Raw genomic sequence first — 22,184 nt, 5'->3', positions numbered from 1 at the left:
CATTCTAAATACGAAATATATATCTAAATCTAAATGACTGTGTTGTAATTTCTCACAAAAAGTGTAGTTAATCCAATTTTCAAGGGCCTATTCAATGCATTTTGCTCTTAGTCACATACAGCTAATCAAACACAGATTCCAGGTAATCAACTGAGGCTCTCAAAAGTGATCCAGAAGTATCTAGTGTTCACTGTATACAGCAGTACTTTTTGGCTCCAAAATGTCTGTTTATCTAGGACTTCACAGCTTCTGCCTGTCTTCAGCACCTACCCACAGTAGAAATCCTGTGGCCCAGGCAGTTAAGGGATCACCCTAACAGCTATGGGACTCCATACAGAAAGATCACAGGCAGTCAATAACATGACCACTGTATTTTACTTCCAGTACAGAGTAAAGCAATTAAAACAAGTATGTAGTTTGAGGACTGTTAGTTCTGATGAAATTCTGAATGTCAAGTTAAAATGTCTCTTGGGGTAGACCAGGCATGGTGGCTCACATCTGTAATCCTAGCACTTTGGGAGGCTGAGGTAGGCGGATAACCTGAGGTCGGGAGATCGAGACCAGCTTGACCAACATGGAGAAACCCTGTATCTACTAAAAATACAAAACTAGCCAGGCATGGTGGTGCATGCCTGTAATCCCAGCTACTTGGGAGGCTGAGGCAGAAGAATTGCTTGAACCCGGGAGGCGGAGGTCGCGGTGAGCCAAGATTGCATCATTGCACTCCAGCCTGGGCAACAAGAGCGAAATCTGTCTCAAAAATAAAAAGTCTCTTCGGGTAAAGAGCGAAAGGCCTACTTTGCAAGAAAAAAAAAAGGGGCGGGGGGAGGGGGGAATGTAGTAAGATCAATTTCTTCCAGATACATAAAGAAGGAAACTGAAAGAAAATTAAACACATGATTAAGTTTTATTCTTCTTGAGGACAGATTTTCAACAGATATACTCTTTTAAAGTAATTTTTTAAATGTTTTCCTTAAAACTGGCATTTTAAAAGTTTATAATCGTAACAATATTGGGGAAAATGGTTTTTATTTCAGAGTTCTCACTACTGGGTAGATTATTCAAAATATATCAAAGATAAAACATATATATGCCATGTTTATTACTTTAAAATATACTGTCATTACAGCATGTTATAATGTTCTTTATAATCCCATTTTTTAAAAAGCAAGAAACATTTAAGTGAAAATTTATGCACTGATCTTTCCCCTTTCAAAAAGAGGGGAAGTGTGAAAATTACTCAATACTACCATAAAATCTTAAATGTGTTCTTACCTGTCATAGCAGTTGATATCATCCAGCCAACAACCTTGTTTCACTATTTCAATGGAACCAGAAATATTCTTCCAGGTAGCAAAACAATGCCGCCGTTTATCTTTGTCACCATAACACGGTTCAACACCAGTTTGATTGGTTCTGTCTTTTTCCCAATTAGCATTAAAGAAAAGACACTCCTGAGTTTCTGATCTACCAAGTATAGCACCTATAAGATAATAAAAACAATAATATAACCACATTATCTGTTAAAATAAAAGACTGTTTCCCAAGATAGCAACTTTAGGTATTCCTAAAGTGTCAGTAATTCACCGTCTTCCCACTTATAACTTTGGGTTTAGGTTTCCAGGTTAATCCCTGTACTTTAAATATAAAAATAGCCATTATAATAGGAAATAACCATATATATCACAGTATTTCTCTGAACACCACTAGTTTCACTTCACTTGAGAATGTCCTTGATGAAAAGCCACAGAAATTGTTAATTTTATGAAACCTTGGCCCTTGAGTAGACTACTTTTTAATATTGTGTGGGACAAAAACTAAGCAAACATAACTCTGCTGCATAGTGACTACAGTTGACCCCTAACAACTCAGGGGTAAGGATCACTGGCTTTGCACAAACAAAAATCAGTGTGTAACTTTTGACTCCCCAAAAACTTTCCCAATAGACTACTGTTAACCAGAAGCTTTACCAATAGCATCAACAGTCGATTAACACATATTTTCTATGTTATACATATTATATACTAAATTCTTACACTAAAGTAAGCTAAAGAAAAGACAATATTATTTTAAAAATAAGGAACAGAAAATACATTTACAGTACTGAACTGTATTTATCGATACTGTAAGTTTACACCTTCTGTTCACAAAATAAATCATAAATGGCAACCACAACGGCAGACCTCAATCTATGGTATGTATCAAACAATTCCACTTTTTCTTGTAATGTCAAGACTTTTCTCTTCTCAGGAGCAATTCCAGTACCAAGAGTGGCACTTTGTATGGGTCCCAAGGTGTTATTCAAGGTTCACGGCATTGCACTAAACACAATGAAAAATATGCTAGAACCACAAGAGATCACTTTTTACTGTGATATACAATTTACTGGAGAGACAAACTGCTCAAGCTGAGATGATTAGCATCATATGGTGTTGTAAGTAGATATTTGCAACACTTGAGCTCACCGCAATAGCAACAGGAGGTGGCTATGAAATTATTACAGTAGTGCACTATGTACTATAGTTAATTTTATGCAATTATAATTTAATACTGTATCTTTACATTTGTTTACATTTCTCTCAACTGCAAACTGTGCCATGTATGGTCTGTAAGTGTGTATGTAAGTTTTGATAAATTTTAACTTTTTATAATAGATGTGCGTATATTTTATGGTAGCAAATAATAAAAGACTGGTTTGTACATATATTTTATGCATTCATGACATATATCTTTTCTTAATTTTTTCAATATTTCTAGGCTAAAAAGTTCATTTGTGAGTTTTTTCAAATTGTCCCAAATCTCCAAAGCCTTTTCCAACATACTTATTGAAAAAAATCCACATATGTGTAGACTGACACAATTAAGACCCTTGTTATTCAAGGATCAACTGTACAATGGTTGCCTCAAGAAAAAGCCCACGTATGACTGAGTTGTAAACTAACAACCTATGGCTATTTAGACTTGGGTATCTGACAGGCATGTTCTCAAAAGTAAACCAAGTGAACCTGTGACTTCAAGAAAGGCAACTAACAAGTATGCGTTTCCAATGATAAAATTTAAGTTTTCAAGCAAAAAATAAAAATTTTGAAAATTTTTATCTACTACCATCAGCAATAGGTGATGGTGTCAACCTTTCCAATAGTCAAAAGAATTTTCTGATGAGATCAGTGGTGATATCAATAAATGTGACTTTTAAATATTGAATAATGAAATGTGACAGTATTTAGAAAGTCTACATAATTCAGAGAACCAATATTTTCCAAATGAATTGTGATATTACAAAAGTATTCATGGGTTAAAAAAAAATCCACTCAATGTGCATGACAAAGCAGACTTTAATGTTACAAAAGACAAAAAGTTCATCAATGGTTTCAGCTTCCCCACTGCAACTAGCATTTACAAAATTATGTCTTGTCTATTTGAAAAACAAGGAAACTGGAATACCCAAAATAATTCTGAAAAAGAAGTACAAAGGAGAATTCATACTAACTGATTTTAAGACTTACTATAAAACTTCAGCAATAAAAACAGTATGGTTATAGTGAAAAGACAGAAACATGTATCAATGGGACAGAACAGAGAACCCAGAAATAGACCCACATATAAATGGTCAACTGATGTAGAGAAAAGATGTCAAGGCAATTCAATAGAAAAACGATAGTCGTAGCAACCACAGATGCTGGAGCAATTGAATATCCATACACAAAAAGAAAAAACAAACAACTTCAACCCATATATCACGCCATATACAAAAATTAATTCTAAACATATCATAGACCTAAAATAATACCTGAAACTATTAAACTTCCAAAAGAAAACATGAAAAATCTTTGTGACCCTGAATTACGAAAGATTTCTTAGAACAACACATATGACCTACAAAAAAGACAGAACCGATAAACTGAACCTCACTAAAATGAAAACTTCTACTCTTTGAAGGCTAAGGGGATGAAAAAAGTCACAGACTGGAAGAAAATACTTGCAAAACACATTTCTAAAAAAGGACTGATGCTCAGAAAATATAACGGCCTCTTACAAGTCAATCATAGGAAAAAACACTGTCCAATTATTTAAATGGGCAAAAGATTCAAATAGGTCCTTTGCCAAAGAGCAAAGAATAAAAATTTTTTTTGAAAAAAGCTACCCAATATTATCAATCATCAGGGAAATGCAAACTAAAACTACAATGAAATACTAACACTAATTAGAATGGCTAAAACAAAACAAAAACACAAACGGACAATATCAAGTATTGCTGAAAATGTGAGCAACTAGAACTTTCACATATTGATGGTGGTAGAGCAAAATGGCCCAGTCACTTTGGAAAACAGCTTTACAGCTTCTTAAAGTTAAAACATACACCAGCCATACTACCCAGCAATCACATGTGTAGGTATCTACGTGAGATAAAAACATAAGTCCATGTAAAAATCTGTAGATGACTGTTCAGAGTGGCTTTATTGATAATCTCTGAAAACTAAAAACACTCCTATGTCCATCAATGGTGAATGGAGAAGCAAATATCCATACAATAAAAAAGGAATGAACTAGTGATACCTACAACAAAATGGATGAATCTCAAACATTATGCTAAGTGAAAGCAGACAGACTCAAAAGGCTGTCCCGTATGATTCCATTTACATAATATTCTGGAAAAGGCAGACAGAAATCAGCTCAGAGATTGCCAGAAGCTGGGAGTGAGGGAAAAGGAGGTGATTACAAAAGGGCATGAGGAAACTTTGTGGGATGAAGGAAATAGGAACACCACGCCTTGACTAGGGTGTATTATGATTGTATAATATGTATGGTTCATATATTCTAATCAAAACTTATGGAATTGCATATCTAAAAAAGCACATTTTATTCTATGTAAATAAAACTGACTTCAAAAAAAACAATAGAAAAGAAACTACCATATCTTGAGTTATGGTATGATATCAAAGAAAAACAGTCACACCAAAAAAAAAAATTATTAAAATACTATTCCTTTTTTTCTAACTATGTATCTGTGTATGACCAGATTTCCTTCATATGCTTCAATCAAAATAACATATCACAAAAACTGAACGGAGAAACAGATACAATAATCCAGTTTTCTTCTACTACAACAATCATTAAGAGACTGTAATTTTACTAATTTTTTGTTTTGGAAAATATTTTTCATAAAAACTTGTTCTTTACTAACACATAATGGATTATTATTGCTATTTTAAATAAGTTAATATTTAAACATTTTCTTTAATTTTTGATATGGTAAATATTGATATATATTACTATTTTAAAAAAGTTTTGGGGTCTTTAATTTTTAAGAGCTCTAAAGAAGTCCTGAGACTAAAAAGTTTGAGAACAGTGGTTCTACAATATACTAGCACAGAGATGTAGTTATAAGTTGCCAGTATTTGTGGGCAGTAATGGTGCCATGGACTTCCTCTCAACTGTGGAAGAAATTATAGCATGAACTGACAGTGCAAACTATGTTCTGGTAACTCCATCTCAACCGTGTATAAAAGAATGGGCCCAGCACGGTGGCTCACATCTGTAATGCCAGCACTTTGGGAAGCCGAGGCAGGCGGATCATGAGGTCAGGAGTTTGAGACCAGCCTGGCCAACATGGTGAAACCCCTTCTCTGTTAAAAATACAAAAATTAGCTGGGCATAGTGGCGCGCACCTGTAATCCCAGCTACTCAGGAGGCTAAGGCAGGAGAATCCCTTGAACCCAGGAGGTGGAGGTTGCAGTGAGCCGAGATCGTACCACTGCACGCCAGCCTGGGCAACAGAAAGAGACTCTGTCTCAAAAAAACAAAACAAAACAAAAAAAACAAAAAAAAGAAGGGCTGCTACCACCACTTATCTGTATGCAAACAATAGGCACTTTCTAAATTATTTTCAGAAACATGTTGAAAATATGAGCAAGGTAAGTTTCCTCCTTTACCAAATAATACAAAAGCAATATTCAATGCCCCCACTGTTATCTTAAAACAGGAATGGCAATTTTTTTATGTAAAGATTCAGACAGTAAATATTTCAGGCTTTACAGGCCATGTGGTCTGTCACAACTACTTAACTCTGCCCTTGTAGCATAAAAGCATCCATAGACAATACATGAATGAACATGATTATGTTGCATTAAAACTTTATTTATGGACACTGAAAATTGGATTTCATGTAGTTTTTACAACTCACAAAATATTATTCTTTTTTTGGATTTTTTTGGTAGTTTTTACAACTCACAAAATACTATTCTTTTTTTGGATTTTTTTTTTTTTGCTACCATCTAAAAATATAAAAATCATTCTTAGCTCCAAGATGGATTTGGCCCATAGGTTGTGCGGTCTGCCACCTCCTAGCTTAAAACAACATCCTAATCCCAATAGTCCGTCTAACCTACCTTTTGTTTATTTTGTTGGGAAAGGGGGCTCTGTGAATTATCACCTATTTAATTCATGTTAAAAACCACTATGCAACTATTTCCAATTTCCAAAAGAAGAATCCCACTCAGGCATAGGAACACCCCAAAAACTAAACAAAACTGACAAAAAAATTGAACACTGCCTAGAGCAAAAGTGCCAAATAGGTTTTACCTTCGGAGTCAATTCCAATCAGCGTTAGTAATGGCTGCCTAGGGCACTATACCAAGAAAGATTTTGAGGATATTTTTAGAGAGGATTTCATAGTATTGGAAGGGAAGGGGAGCAGCATTAGTGTCTTGTATTTGCCATCCTAGTCTAGAAAAAAGATAAACAAAGGGCCATTTTATTTATTAAAAAGATATTTCCACCATTTTTTAAGGTAGATAGGATTAAGGATGGTTTTCTAGATCTAAACTAGAGTGGTATTTTTCATAAGTAGAAAGAAAATGGCTTACGGGGAATGCTGTGACAATTTTCCCACCCCTCCTCAAGCTGATTCTGCAATCAGTCTCTATCCCATCAAGTCTCTAAAAAAACTCAATATAGTAACATCATGATTATAAAAATAAGTAAATTATATGTATTTTTATATTCTTAAGCTTACATTACAACTTTAAAGGTGTAGTTCTAAAAAGGATGGCATGGTTATTTATGTATATTAAGTTTTAACGACATCTCCCAATTTAAAATTTTCTGAAACTTTAAATCTCTACCCATAGGTTTATTCTATCAAAGTAACTCTAAATAGTTACTACTGACATTTTCAAAAGAAATAAATAAGTATAAAAGGTTTGCGTGCAGGGTTTAGTACAGCAGTTCTTAACCAATGATGTGCATCAGAATCCCCTCTATATTTTCTCACATTCATATGTCTGAGTGCCATTATGTAGGTCCTGGGAATGGGGAGCTGAAAAGTTTATTTTGAGAATATATATAAATATACACATACATACACTATATATATACATGCTACTATATATAAAGAGTACATGTATGTGTGTATACACACACACACACACACACACACACACTATACTAATGGTGCCATGGACTTCCTCTCAACTACGGAAGAAAAAATAGCATGAACTGACATACTGCAAACTCCTCTGGTAATCTGTCTCACCTGTATTCTATAGAAGAAGGGCTGCTACTTCTAATGTATACAGAATATAGTATATGCACATGTGTGGGGTTTGTTGTTGTTTTTGTTTTTCTGCAAAGACCCACTGGTAATCTAATGTTCCTCCCTATGTAAAACCCACTGGCTTAATAGAGTTGGCCTGAATCTGGAATCTGTTTCACAAACTGTGACCTTGGACAAGGTACCAAACCCCTCACTACCTTGTTTCCGCATCTGTAAAATCAAGCAGATTGATTCAATTTCCAAATTCTTTTCCAGAACCATAATTCACACTCAGTTTACAGTAAATCAGTAAGTCTAATCACATAATCTAGTATGAGTTAATTTATATAATAGTTCTATATTCAAAGTACTGCTTATGGTTTACTGACTAGTACTGACTGCTTCATTCTTCCTACCATTAAAAAAAAAATAGCAATACACAGAATCTGAAATTTGGTAAAATGTTTTACCATAACTCTGCAAAAGTCTACTTCTTTTTTTTTGAGACGGAGTCTCACTCTGTCGCCCAGGCTGGAGTGCAATGGTGCGATCTCGGCTCACTGCAACCTCCGCCTCCTGGGTCCATGCCATTCTCCTGCCTCAGCCTCCCAAGTAGCTGGGACTACAGGCGGCAGCCACCAAGCTTGGCTAATTTTTTTTTGTATTTTTAGTGGAAACAGGGTTTCACCGTGTTAGACAGGATGGTCTCAATCTCCTGACCTTGTGATCTGCCCGCCTCAGCCTCCCAAAGTGCTGGGATTACAGGCGTGAGCCACTGCGCCCGGCCAAAAGTCTACTTCTATGAGAAAATTTTCACCTCAAGCAACTGTATCTGAGGACAATTCAAGTTTTGTTTTTTAAAAACATGATTAATATATCAACACCAATTTTATACAACCTCTTCCAGAAACAAAAGAGACTTCCCAACTCATTTTATGAGACCAGTATCATCTCGATATCAAAAACAAAGCCCAAAAAGAAAAACACAGACCGGTATCTCTCATTAACTTAGGTGCAAAAGTCCTCAACAAAATTTTAGCAAAGAGAATCCAACAATATATTTTTTAAAAGTATTACATCACAGCAAAGTGGGATCTGCTCCAGACATACATGGCTGTCTCAAGATTCAAAAATCAATCACACAATCTAACAAATCAACAGACTAAAAGTGAAAAATCATATGGTCATATCGGTGGTTGCAGAAAAAGCATTAGATAAAATTGAATATTATTCACAATAAAAAAAAAACTATCAGTACACTAGGAATAGAAGGGAACTTACTCAATGTCATAAAAAGCACCTACCAAAAAACCTACAGTTGATGTCATACTTAACAGTGAAACAACAAATGTTTTTGCTGAGCTCAGAAACAAGTCAACAATTTCACTCTCAACACTCTAACACAGTACTGAAACACAGTACTGAAAGTTGTAACTACTGCAATAAGGCAAGGAAAAGAACTTAAGGGCATACTGTCTAGAAAGGAAGAAATAAAACTCCCTCTATTTGCAGATGACATGCTGGTATACGGAGGAATTCCGAAGGAATCTTTAAAAAAAAAAAAAAAAGAAGCAGCAGCAGCAGCCCCCGAACTAATAAGCGAATTAAGTAAGGTCACAGGATAGATGAACGAAACACAAAAATCAATTGCATTTCTATTTGGTGACAATGAACAAGTGAAACTAAAATTAAAAATGCAACACCAGTTACGGTTGCTCTGAAGAAAAATAAAACACTTAGGTATAATTTAACAAAACATGTATAGGATCCCTATGATTAAAATTTTAAAATGCTGATGAAAGAAATCAAATAAAACCTAAACATTTGGAAAGACAAACTGTTCATGGATTGGAAGATTGAACATAAAGATGTCAATTCTCCCTAAATTGATGGATAGGTGTAATGCAATTCATATCAAAATCTCAGCAAGTTTCACTGTAAACAAGTATATTCTAAACTTTTTTGAAAAATAATAATAAAGTGGGAGAAATCACCACCCGCTTTCCTGACGTTAAGGCTTAAAATGTAACTGCAATAATAAAGACAGCAAGGTACTGACAGAGGGACAGAAACATACATCAGTGAAAAAGATATAGGACCCAGAAAGAGATCTACATACAAACACGTCTAATTCGTTTTTGACAAATAAGCAAAGGCAATTCAATGGAAAAGGAATAGCTTTTCCAACAAATGGAGCTGGAGCAATCAGACATGGTTCAGGCAAATACATTTTGAATGTCCTCACTCTATTATCCCAGTAGTTCCAGAAAGCCCAGCTCTTGTAGAAAGCCTCCCAGAAAAACCTCTCATATGGTGACAATTTCCAAGTTTTCTCAAGGTATGCATAATAAAATCTTAAAAATCTTTTAATCAGGACTCCTCCTTCTCCCAAAGTGCACACTTCTTGCAATCCAATGTAATTGTTTTATATTTACTCACTGATTTTTAAATCAGTTGTCTATATACGTTCTTCTACATGTCAGAATTCCATTGGGGTTAGATTTTAAGTGTTCTCACCATAAAAAATAAGTACTGCATATGTGAGGTAATAGATATGTTAATTTGTTTGATTTAGCCATCCCACAACATATACATATTTCAAACCATGTTGATAATAAATATATGCAATTATTTGTCAATTAAAAAATTAATTTTTATAAAAATAATGATAGATACCTGATTTAAGGACCAGAGAAGATATATGAGTTAGAATGGCCTAAACTGACACGTCTTTATTTAGAAAGAAGATAGAAGGTGGTGATAGAATGGAATGTCCTTCACCAGACTGTCAGCTTCTTGCAAGCAAATAGTGTAATATTTTCATGACTGAATCCCTAATATCTAGCACAATTCTTGAAACTCAGAAGGCATTCAATTAATATTTGGTAAATTGACAAATAGATGTAGTCAATCAAAAAATATCTGGATGTAGCTTAATATAAAATTAAAGAGTTCTTTTTTTCCCAAACTGTTCCATCTATTACATTCTTTAATCACATTTTCACTAGTTTCCCTTCTTTAAACTTTTTTTTTTTTTTGAGACAAGATCTCGCTCTATAGCCTAGGCTGGAATGCAGTGGTGCAATCATAGCTTACTGTAGACTTGAGCTCCTGGGCTCAAGCGATCCTCCTGCCTCAGCCTCCTAAGTAACTAGGACAACAGGTATGTGCCACCACATACTGCTAGTTATTTTTATTTTTTGTATAGATAAGGTCTTGCTATTTTGCCCAGACCGGTCTTGAACTCCTGGCCTCAAGAGATCCTCCTGCCTCTGACTCCCAAAGTGCTGGGATTACAGGTGTGAGCCAAGCACTCAGCCTTGTCTTCTTGTACAGTACAGTTATAGTTGCTTAGAATGTGTCATTCTCAATATGATGAAATACCTAACAATTTTATCATTGGCATTAAGGAGTTTTTGGGGTCTGCAGCTTTGAATTAAATCAATGTAAAACAAACGTCCCAAAAAAAAAAAAAAAAGATGCCACTAGGGTCTAAGACTATCCATCTTACTTGAGTTCTTAACACAAACAGTACTTAATGAATGATAAAATGCAAAAACAAATTATAACTGAATAAAAACTCAACTACTACTGATTTCCCTCTACTCTTTGAAACAGGTGGATGAAATGTAAATCTTTTACAATTATCAATTTCACTACACTTTTTTCTGATTAAGATGACAATATCTTTCATAGTCCTGTGACTAGCTTACCTATCACAATTCTCCTATGTATGCAACCAATGTTAAGCAGAAAAATAAGAACTGTTTCGGGAACTTACAAATTTGAGGAATTTCTGGAAAAACATTCTAATGCTGTCTGAAATCATCAAAAAGTCATTGAGAAACAGTATAAAGAGGTATGAAACAATCTCTTTCCTAAACTTGTGCCTACCACAGGCAACTTAGTCCTCTGGGAAGAGTTAATGAAGTTTCAAATGTAATAAATCCAACTTAAAAAGCAATTCTTGTTTCCCTTTCACGTGTCATTGCTCCTGCCACTCTGGGGACAAACCACAAGTCCAAAGAATCAGCTATAGAAGATGGATTAAATTGAATGATGGTTTTAATCCAAAACATCTTACAGTATAGTTTTTTTTAAGTATCAAGAATACTATACAAAAGAATGATTTTAGGTACTTGGAAAATTCTGGTATAGTACAATCTTTCATGGCATCAATCAGTAAATGTATACAAAATTTTATTAGTTCAGTAGGTATTATTTAACAGTCTCTGACTATGCTTAATAATCATCCTACTGCCCAGAAACTTGCAAGCTACCATAAATAAATGAGTACCAGGCAAATCTCAACACAAAGGATTTCCCAATTTTCCCCAATAAAAAGTTCTTTTTTTAAATTTTTACCAATTTGAAATATACAAACCTTTCCATGTACATCATACAGTCCAATATATACTTTTATTAATTTAGTCTTATGAATGTTTTAAAATCACAAAGCACATAAATTTTACAAAATAACTTTATTCAAACTTTACCTACATCTTCACCAAGTATCATCTCGTTACTTTCTTTTTGAGTGACCTGTAAGTATCATGAAGTGAATAATCTTTACTTCCATTTAAGTTGTTCTGAGAAACAATACTTTTAGAAGTCATAATACCATCATTGAAAATGTTTTTCCAAGCCACAAATATCCATTCACATGATTCTAAGATGGTTGGTTTTTTAATTGTGCTACAGGTACATACTATGATCTTCACAATGTAACTGCTTACATATCTCTTTTAAAAGTGATTGTAAAGGCTTTTTTCACAACAACTTATAAGAGTATAACTCCCTGCCCACAAATAATTTCTAATTTGTTTAAACTTTTTACTATACCCTTTTATCTATTCCCTCAGGAAACCTCTACAGACTTTTAAAACAAGTACTGACTGACATCATTTCAAGCTCTTCTATATTCTCCAAATACTATACTTCTATTCAAAATAAAATAATTGAGAGAGAGCTCAAAATATGAAAAACTTTTTAAGGACTCAAATATAAGATGACTTTTTTTTAGAAATTTTTTTTTAGAGAAAACTTTGCTTAATACTGGACATATGCAGATGAAGTATCATCAGTGCCTAGCACAGTATAGGAATTCAGTTACATTTGCACTAAATCAACAATTCACAAGGCCTAGAATAGTAAGAAAAAAGAGGGCTTTGCAGAGAAAATGAAACTAAAGCAGGGCTATTAAGGAGACACAGAACTGTAAGTTAAACAGAGGTTGGGAAGATGAAGACCAAATAAACAGGGTTGTGAATAACCAGAGTGTTTGACAAGACTGCCCTCATTGGACTACAGCATTCTATATTCTGTAGTATTGGGTATAGCCAGGAGAGGTTTGGAAGTCATCAAAAGAATAGAGGTAGTATTTTAAAGATTAATCAGAAAACAATGAGTAAACTGTTGGAACAGAACAAAACTCAGGACACTATATTAACTACCCAATAAAAACAAGGGGTATACAATATCTATGCTGAAAGGCCACAGGTATCAAATGCATTGTCAAATTAGAATACAGAGATGAAGCTTTTGCCTTCCACAGTCCCTTATTTGTTTTCCCTAAGCATAAGAAACTAAAAGATAAAAATGATTTGGTTTATTGGGTTGGGTAGTTAGCTGTTTCTAAATGTTTTATCTTATAAACTTCTGAGAAAACAAAGCTTGCTTCTATACATAATTATCCTATGCTTCACTTCACTGCTAATTATCTTCCTAATATTTTAGTCTTACTGTCATGAAAGATACACTGTATATTGCCCAGAATAAGTTAGGCATCTTCAAAAATACCTAACACACAACAGAAAATTCTTTTTGCCTACAGCCACAAAATGTGTAGAGTATCTACAAATGCCCGGGTTTTAAGATTAAAATAGTTCCATGCAGTTCTCTGGCCCTAACTCATAAGATGAATTACATCAAAACAGGTACAAGTAAATACAAGTTTTAACTAGGCTGTGCAAAACAGATTTCTAACATTAGATGTTCTTCTTTGCGGGGAGAAGGGATAATGGTGACTGCAGCTAGAGGCCAATACTTGCAACAGAATTTATAGGCTAGTTTTTTAAATGCACAAAAAAACAAAATCGGGCATAAATTTAGAAGAATAAGAGATAAAAGGTAAATTCTCAAAATCAGAACAGAGCTTCTAAAAAAATTAAGGAAACAAACATGCACACAATAGTTCCTACTAGTTCCTGCAAAAACCAACCTAAAAGTGTCAATTACACTGAAAAGACACTACCTACATTAAGGGTTTGTTTAGTGCTTTATTTTACTTAGGAAGATGCAGGCCCTCTTTTTAATAAAACATCAATCTGTCACAGAAAGAGTAAAAATGGATCACTTCTGCTTGCTATGAAGATAATGTGAAATCATCTTTGAGGAACCAGCAATGTTAAGAGTGAGAAATTTGAAAAACAAAAATAAAACAAAGCACAAAAACCTCATCACAAACATTTCCATCAAAGCAATATTTGGTCATTTAAAACCAGCTAATGAAGAAAATTAACAATATATATTAGAGTAGCTTTAAATACAGTAGAAGATGGTAAGCTGATAATTCATAATGACCTTAAATAACAATGGATATAGAATCACTTAACAGGCCATAATCACCAACAGTTTTTTTCATAACTATGTTGCTTCAACTTTTAAGAAGCAAGATTATGAGTATTAAAAAAAAATCTCAATGTCTTGTTTATTACTTTTGTGTATTATGTAGTTTCTTTCCTACTTGAAAACTCATTTTGCCAGGCACAGTGGCTCATGCCTGTAATCCCAGCACTTTGGGAAGCCAAGGCGGGCAGATAACCTGAGGTCAGGAGTTTTAGACCAGCCTGGCCAACATGGCAAAACGCTGTCTCTACCAAAAATACAAAAATTAGCTGGGTGTGGTAGCGTGCGCCTATAATCCCAGCTACTCGGGAGGCTGAGGTAGAAGAATTGCTTGAACCTGAGAGATGGAGGTTGTGGTGAGCTGAGATCGTGCCATTGCACTCCAGCCTGGGCAACAAGAGCAAAACTCCGTCTCAAAAAACAAAAACAAAAACAAAAACAAAAAAACTCATTTTACTACACATTGAGTCTTTTGATATCTTTTCTTTTCTATATTGATACACATCCTAGAGGCAGTCACCTTTCCTATTTGGCTGCCCTGGGTTGCTTTTAAGCATTATGAAAGGTAACACTGTTCAAAAGTTATCATAAAGTCCACACTGTCCCAAAAGACTTTTGATAGACAAGTTAGATATATGAAGAAAGAGAATAAATTTTCAAATAAAATTTCTGCATTGGCCATACAACATTTTAGGCCCTGTCAATCTAATTTTTTTTTTTTAAACTAAGCCCCTTCCCACCACCAAACAATCACTTCTAAAGGAAAACACAAACATTGTCTGGCTTTCTTCCCAGAAATTTTTTTTCCTCTTGTCTGTAATACCCCATACTTAGTACTTACTATCAGTCTGACAAAACATTACAAGATTCCATCCATCTAACTAAAGTAATATATTTCTATTACTAAACTAAAAGCACAACTAGCACAGAATAAACTAAAAATATAAACATTATATGTTGTGGCACTAGACAATGTGCATGTGGCATGTGTAAGGAGAGTAAAAATACTTGGAAGTCAACATTTAACCACTAGTTACTTAGGGACTTCTTTTTGTTGCTGTTTTCCTTTGAGACAGAGTCTCACTCTGTTGTTCAGGCTGGAGTGCAGTGGCCCAATCTTAGCGGCTCACTACAACCTCTGCCTCCCAGGTTCAAGCGATTCTCCTGCCTCAAACTCCCAAGTGGCTGGAATTACAGGCGCACGCCACCACACCCAGCTAATTTTTGTATTTTTGGTAGAGACAGGGTTTCGCCATGATGGCCAGGCTGGTCTCGAACTCCTGACCTCAAGTGATCCGCCCCACTGGGCCTCCCAAAGTGCTGGGATTACAGTCATGAGCAACTGCATCCAGCGTTATTTAAGGTCTTCTAATGTTAATTCCTGACAAATTACAAAGGCAAGCATCCAAAACGTATTTCAATATTGTTAACACTTAAATGACTAATTATCCCCACATAGATGGCTCCAAATAAATATATATCTACCTGGATACAGACCAAAATTTGAATAACTCAATCAATTTCTCAAATCTCTTTCTTAAAATGCCTCAACATAAAAGTTTTAGAGTCCCAAAGAGAGTGGCAAATTTGTAATGGTAGAATTTCCTTTTATAAAAGAGACAAGCAACCATCCTTTTAAAATAATTCTTAATAGTTTGTTTCTTAATTCACTTAAATTGTAGATCCAGTTCAACACAAACGGTACATTTTTGTATTAACAAAATTTTTAGAGGACTTAAATTTCTTAAACCTTTCTCTAAATACAGAAGATACTCTACATAGGGCTTGTTGTTACTTAGTTTAGTAATTGAATGCAGGTTAGTTAGCATCTTTTTGTCCTATCCTCTCACAAACTTAATGATAGACAAGTTAGATATATGAAAAAAGAATAAATTTTCAAATAAAATTTCTATATTGGCAATGCAACATTTTAGGCCCTGTCAATCTAATATAAAAAAAACCACACACACACACACACATACACACACACACACACACACACACACACACACACACACACTAAGCAGCTTCTTGAGAGGAGAAAAAAAAAGATGCTAACTAACCTGCATTCAATTACTAAATAACTAGACATCCATTATAATGTTTTCTCCAAAAAGACCTAAAGGAAAGAAAAAAAAAATTCAAGTCACAGATACAGACACACTGATGTACAGGCAGAAAAATTACAATATGAAGGCATCAGAACCAAGAATCATTTCATCTTTAAAGGTAACTGTTCTAACACTCTTAAGAAATGACTTGACATCTTTTTGGGAAGAAATATACTTCAAATTGTTATTATTTGGTTGGTAGCCCAGAATAAAGACACTGATTTTAAAATCAACTATCAAAAAACTTCACTTCCCTAAATACAAAAAGTATATATAGAACAACAGGAACCAGGAAAAGAGCAAATCACAAAACTTCGGATTTATCATTCAACTGAATAACACCTGGGACCACATTTAGGACTGCTTTGCTAGGACAGGCCAAGAAAGCCTGAAAATGTTCCAGATCTCAACTTCCCTGTGCCTTTTTAATAATTAAAAATGGGGTAGGGGAAATGGTTTTAAGAAAAGACCTGCTTTCTTCTCATTTTAACCAATATAAGTAAGCTTCTCATAACATTATAAAAGGGATAGATTTCCATTAAACAAAGAGGGAAAAATAGGAGCCCAGTGTTTTCCCCTTCAGAATGAGAAAATTTTACCCTTTCTAGCCCTTCCACCCCTGGGCAGGACACTTTGAAATCTATTCTGGTGACATGCTACAAGAAATCTTAGAGGACACTAGGTCTTTCACACAGGTACAGCATCTTCTGCATTCAACAAATATCTAATGCTGTCATACTAGTTGCAGGCACTTTGACAACCTAGGTATTAAGCAGAAATAGTAAAAAAGTAATTCCAAAGTTTGAGAAATAGCTAACTTCTTGAAAGGAAGAGAAAAATGAGAAGCTCAATTTTCAAAAGACACAACAAGTAGAAAGTAAAAGAACTCACAAATCTTTCAATAATTCTGAAACTCAACTAAGGCCTATTCTAATTTATCCTGCAAGGTAAGACAGAAGGAAGGAATGATAGACAAGTAACTAGAAGATCATAAAGACAGAGGATTTCAAGTATACATCTTTATCAAGGTACTTTATTATTTTTAAAATCATGTTAATACCTCTGGAAAGAGTAGATTTTTGTCTTAAAACTGACTTTAGAAAATAAAAAGATTAATAAAGAAATATAAAAAAATGATTGAAGTATCCTGAGTTGGCATTAAAAAATGTCACTGGGGCCAGGCACAGTGGCTCATGCCTGTAATCCCAATACTTTGGAAGGCAGAGGTGTGAGAATTACACCCAGGAGTTCAACACCAGCCTAAGCAACATAGCAAGAACCTACTATAAAAAATTTTTTTTAAAATAAAAAATGCTTACTAGTCATCACTGCTTGATAATACAGAGCAGCAACCATAACAGCTTCTTGATGGTAGGTAGTAATGATACCTTAGAAAGTAAATAAACCCTCTATAAAGGAATTCATACTAGTCATAAAGATATCACCCATTTATACTAGCACTCTTAATCAGTAAAACAATAAAACCATGTTATCTAGCTTGTCAAATGAGAATTTATAGAGAATTGAAACAACAACAAAAAAGAACATCAGGGAAGAGGTTTAAGGCATAAGCATTAGAATTAGAAAATCTAAGTTAGATTTTTAAAGAATGTGAGTATCACTGGAAGGTTATTACTGCAAGTCACCAACATCTCTCCCTGGACTATAGCAACAGCCTCTTTAACTGGTCTCCCAGCTTCCATTTTATCCCATCTAATCAGTTCTTCATTCACAAGTCAGACAATTTACTAAAGCAAACAAAATCAAGTCACTACCCCAACTTAAAGCCATTCAATGGCTTCCCACTACCCTTGGCCTTAAAATCAAAATCTTTAACAAATCTTACAGGCCTTTCCACAGTTTGGCTCTTCTTTAGCCTCAACTCACATGAGACAAGTGGACACTCTTTGAACATCAAACTATCTCAGGCCTTGATACATTCTTTCTACCACTTTCTCCCCATCCCTAACTTCCTTTTAATAGGTGAGATAATGGAGTGGACTTAAACATTGAGAAAATGTTTGAAAAAGTTTGCTATGGTTTAAATGTTCACCCCTTCCAAAATTTATGTTGAAATTTAATTGCCAGTGTATTGAGAGGTGGGGCCTAATGGTGGCGTTTAGGTCACAGATTAATGCCATTATAAAAAGGGCTTTTAGGAGTGGGCTGTCTCTTGTCCTTCTGCCCTCTGCCCTGTGAGGACACAGTAAACAGACCCACACCAGATGCCTTTGCCTTGATCTTGGAGTCTCCAGAACTGTAAGAGAAGAAATTTCTGTTCTTTATAAGTTACCTCCTCTCAGGTATTCTGTAATAGCAACACAAAACAGAGTAAAACAAAGTTGAAAAACAGTTATCACCAGTTCACAAAATGAAATGAAAAAAAGCAAAATATCATCTCTAATTTGCAAATACTTCTTGAACCACTGAAAACAGTTTGATTGCATTTAGTAAGTTTGAAAAACATACATTTACCATATGGTCTACTCCCAAGAAACTATCATACTATTCTCTAAACTCTTAACAAATTAAAATAATCAGTTAAGCTTATATGATTTTTCTATAACCATTACCTTTTCCTCCAAAAAAAGATTTTTTTTTTTAAAGACAGGTCTCTTTCTGTCACCCAGGCTGGAGTGCAGTGGCATGGTAACAGTTCACTGCAGCCTTAACCTGCTGGGCTCAATTGATCTTCCCACCCTAGCCTCCCAAATAGCTGGGACTGCAGGTGGCTGCCACCACACCGGCTTTTTTTTGTATTTTTTTGTAGAGACAGGGTTTTGCCATGTTGCCCAGGCTAGTCTCAAACTTCTGAGCTCAAGCAATCCACCAACCTCGGCCTCCTGAAGTGCTGGAATTACAGGCATGAGCCACCATGCCCAGCCTAGGAAAGACCTTAATAACCTTTCTCTAAAAATCCCTAAGTCACTGTAACACAAAACAAGGGCAGTCTTCCCCTCAAACTCAGAGAAAAGGCAACCAAAAATTTCAGATAGACATTCTAAATCAGATAAATATCTAAATCTAGTTCATAGTTCCTGGCCTCTTTCTTAATAAAAAAAAAAAAGTAAAAGTCTTATTTGTAAAAGTCATGTCTGTCCACTTTAAAGGTAAAAATCTCAACCCAACACCTTTCAACAATCACCAAAGTTGTTTTCGATACTGGCTTACGTAAGTACTATAAAAGAAGAGTAGCAGGAATAATAAAATCAGATTCACACACATGTTTTTGTTTAATATTCCAAAGTATATTTAATTTAAATCTTTCACGTTTACAATTAAAAACATTTCCTCCAAATCCAGCTTAATTCTGTCTTGTAAACCAAAATAAAAAATTTTTCTCTGACACTTTTATAGTCTTGCTATATTAACACTGCCTAAAATCTAACAAAAAGACAGTTCTGTCCTATGTTAATTACCACAAAGAATTATTTTAATAGTAGCTCTATAGATTTTGCCCTCATAATTTAATGGAAAAAAAATCACATACTACAGGCAACAGCTTCTACTATAAGTATTCACATTTCTCTGTATAGTCGGTAATTGAGAAATACAGTTTTCGAAGAGTAAAAAAAGCAGCATGATAAATGTAAAGTTTAAAGCAAGGATCGAAGTTACAGCAGAACATAGATAAGACACAGCAACAGAACATGGACAACACAGTGTAGACTAGCCCCCTACAGAAACAGAAAGCTTTCATATAAACATCTGTAAAGCCTATTACTCACATTTAGTTTACAAATTTTATCAATTTCACTAATATAACTTTCACTTGAAAGGTCATGTTTACTTCAACAATAATCAATGACTGATAAGTTTTACTATCTATGTGAACTAATAAAATAAGAAAAATTGTTTACTAAGCAAAGAGTAAAAGCAATTTTTTGTTCAGGAAAAGTAGAACTAAAGAATAATAAACAAAGTTTAACTCCTTACTTTAAATTCAACAGTGGAAGAGTTAAATTAACAAGGTGATATATCTTTCTTTGCTTATGTTCTTCATGAATTTGTATGGCATCCTTGACCAGGGGCCATGCTAATGTTTTCTCTATTATTCCGATATTAGTATATGTGCTGCCAAAGCAAGCACCTTGCTTATGTTTTAATAAAACAAATGTCTTGAAAAAAACTTTGTGACTTTTGTCAACCTATCCTGAATGTCATTCCCCCATTTCTTTCCTCAGAGAAATGTTTACATCCATCATTTTCTTAAAAAACAAAGATCCACAGAACCATAATAATTATTGGGAACTGTTCCCAGTCTTCTATTAGTGAAACATTTAAACATAAGACAAAAAAATTCTTACTAGTGGGCCACTGAAAGATACCAAAAGATTCAAAAAAGTTCAAATAATAGGGCACTTTTCTCCATGTTAAAAGCTACTTTTGGAATACCAAAAACTAAATAAGGCCACAGCTGGCCAACTTTTACGTTCAGGTCCACCCAGAGCATAAAATCCTGCGATCAAGACGTGTAGAAGAAAGTAAAAGAATAGAGAGACACAGCAGCTTTACTAATAAGGCTACCAGTTATCCCTTTTCAAACTCAGTGGCGTATCTGTGCAATGAGGACATGGTGAAGGGACAGGAGCAACATATAGAAGACAAAATGTAGTTGAAAGGACACAAGGAACAACTGTGTCTATCAGAACTGCTCTCAATTTAAGCAACTGGCTGGCAGATGAGTCAGGGGTCACCAATTCTAATCCCTGGCCTTCCACTAAATTTTAAGACCAATTCCTAGTGGAACTCACGTATCCTCTCCTTGTTTATCACTTTCATCCACCTGCTCCAATTTCTAATGAAGAACAATTCTGCTTTTTAAAAACAAATTAAGAAGAGGAAACAACTGCAATGAAAGCGCAAGAGGAACTTACATATCTACAGGTGTTAAAAGCCCTTGTAATTCTGATGAAGTGAATGACAGTGATAGGCTGATGAGAATTATGTCCCTAGGTGCCACACAGTCCAAGATCTTAGCCTTTAATATTAGCATTTTAAAAATATAAATAAGCAATTTATGGCATATACCTCAACCTTGAGGCATATGCCTCAAGGCATAATTTTGGGGTAAATACCTAAAAGAAAAAACAGCAACACTGCTATAAAGAAAATGGGTTTTATTAAACCAAATTTAAATTTTTTGCTCACTTTTGATACATATTTTAAATTTTCTTTTAGAAGCTGTTTTATTCATTTTGTATTTATACTATACAATAAAAAAGAAAAGCAAGAAGTCATGGAAGCCAAAAAAGTGAGACAAATTACAAGAATAGAATAACAGTGAGTAGACTGTTTAAATTAGGAAGAGGAAAGAGGACCAAAAACTGAGGATTGAAGGGAATGAAGGCAATGCCAGTATCATTTAATGCTTTTAAGAGGTGAACACTAGTGCTGTAGAAGATGCTTGCAAGAGCACAGTACTCAGTATCTAATAAAGCTCAATAGTTTTTCTTAATGTAAGTACTTTTTCTTAACAGAAGTACACTGTCTATTCTATTTCTGCTTCCCTGTTTATTTTGCCACATAATCTTTCAGTTTTCTGTAATGGATGGTAATGTTTCTAGATCCCTGAAGCTAACCTAAAAGGGAAGGCTGAGAAGTATAAACTTTGAGAGGTTACATGTCCTATGATCTTCCTTTTTATAAAAATGTTTTCTGTAATACTAAACACTTGTAACCTGTGGATGGTAGGTTTGTCCCTTTATCTGACATCTGTGCTAATATCATCTTCAGTTCCTATGTGAAACATACACCAACATACATGGAGTTCTGATGTACATTTATTTGTTCATTTTCAAGCTGGAAGCATACCATTCCTAATTTATTTTATGTAGACAGCACCTACATATTTATGCCTCTGGAGGTAATAAGAAACAGAGCAATGTTTCTCACAGTGCACAACCTCCATC

At 34.6% G+C, this 22,184-nt stretch overlaps 1 protein-coding gene and 1 pseudogene across 4 annotated transcripts in view; both read right to left on the bottom strand.

Moving 5' to 3' along the window:
* The window catches only part of ACVR2A (activin A receptor type 2A), an 86,306-nt gene that overhangs the window by 33,039 nt on the left and 31,083 nt on the right, over nt 1-22,184 (bottom strand). For 3 of the 4 annotated variants that reach the window (NM_001278579.2, XM_047446292.1, NM_001616.5), the window contains one exon: nt 1,276-1,483. In NM_001278579.2, the coding sequence (NP_001265508.1) occupies nt 1,276-1,483 (208 nt within the window). The remainder of the gene's footprint in view (nt 1-1,275; nt 1,484-22,184) is intronic. The other variant, NM_001278580.2, reaches the window with a different exon arrangement.
* Nucleotides 20,256-20,362, bottom strand: RNU6-1275P (RNA, U6 small nuclear 1275, pseudogene; annotated as a pseudogene).

Source organism: Homo sapiens, chromosome 2 (assembly GCF_000001405.40).
Source record: "Homo sapiens chromosome 2, GRCh38.p14 Primary Assembly".
NCBI classification, from domain to species: domain Eukaryota; kingdom Metazoa; phylum Chordata; class Mammalia; order Primates; family Hominidae; genus Homo; species Homo sapiens.
This window is presented reverse-complemented; position numbering and strand designations above follow the sequence as displayed.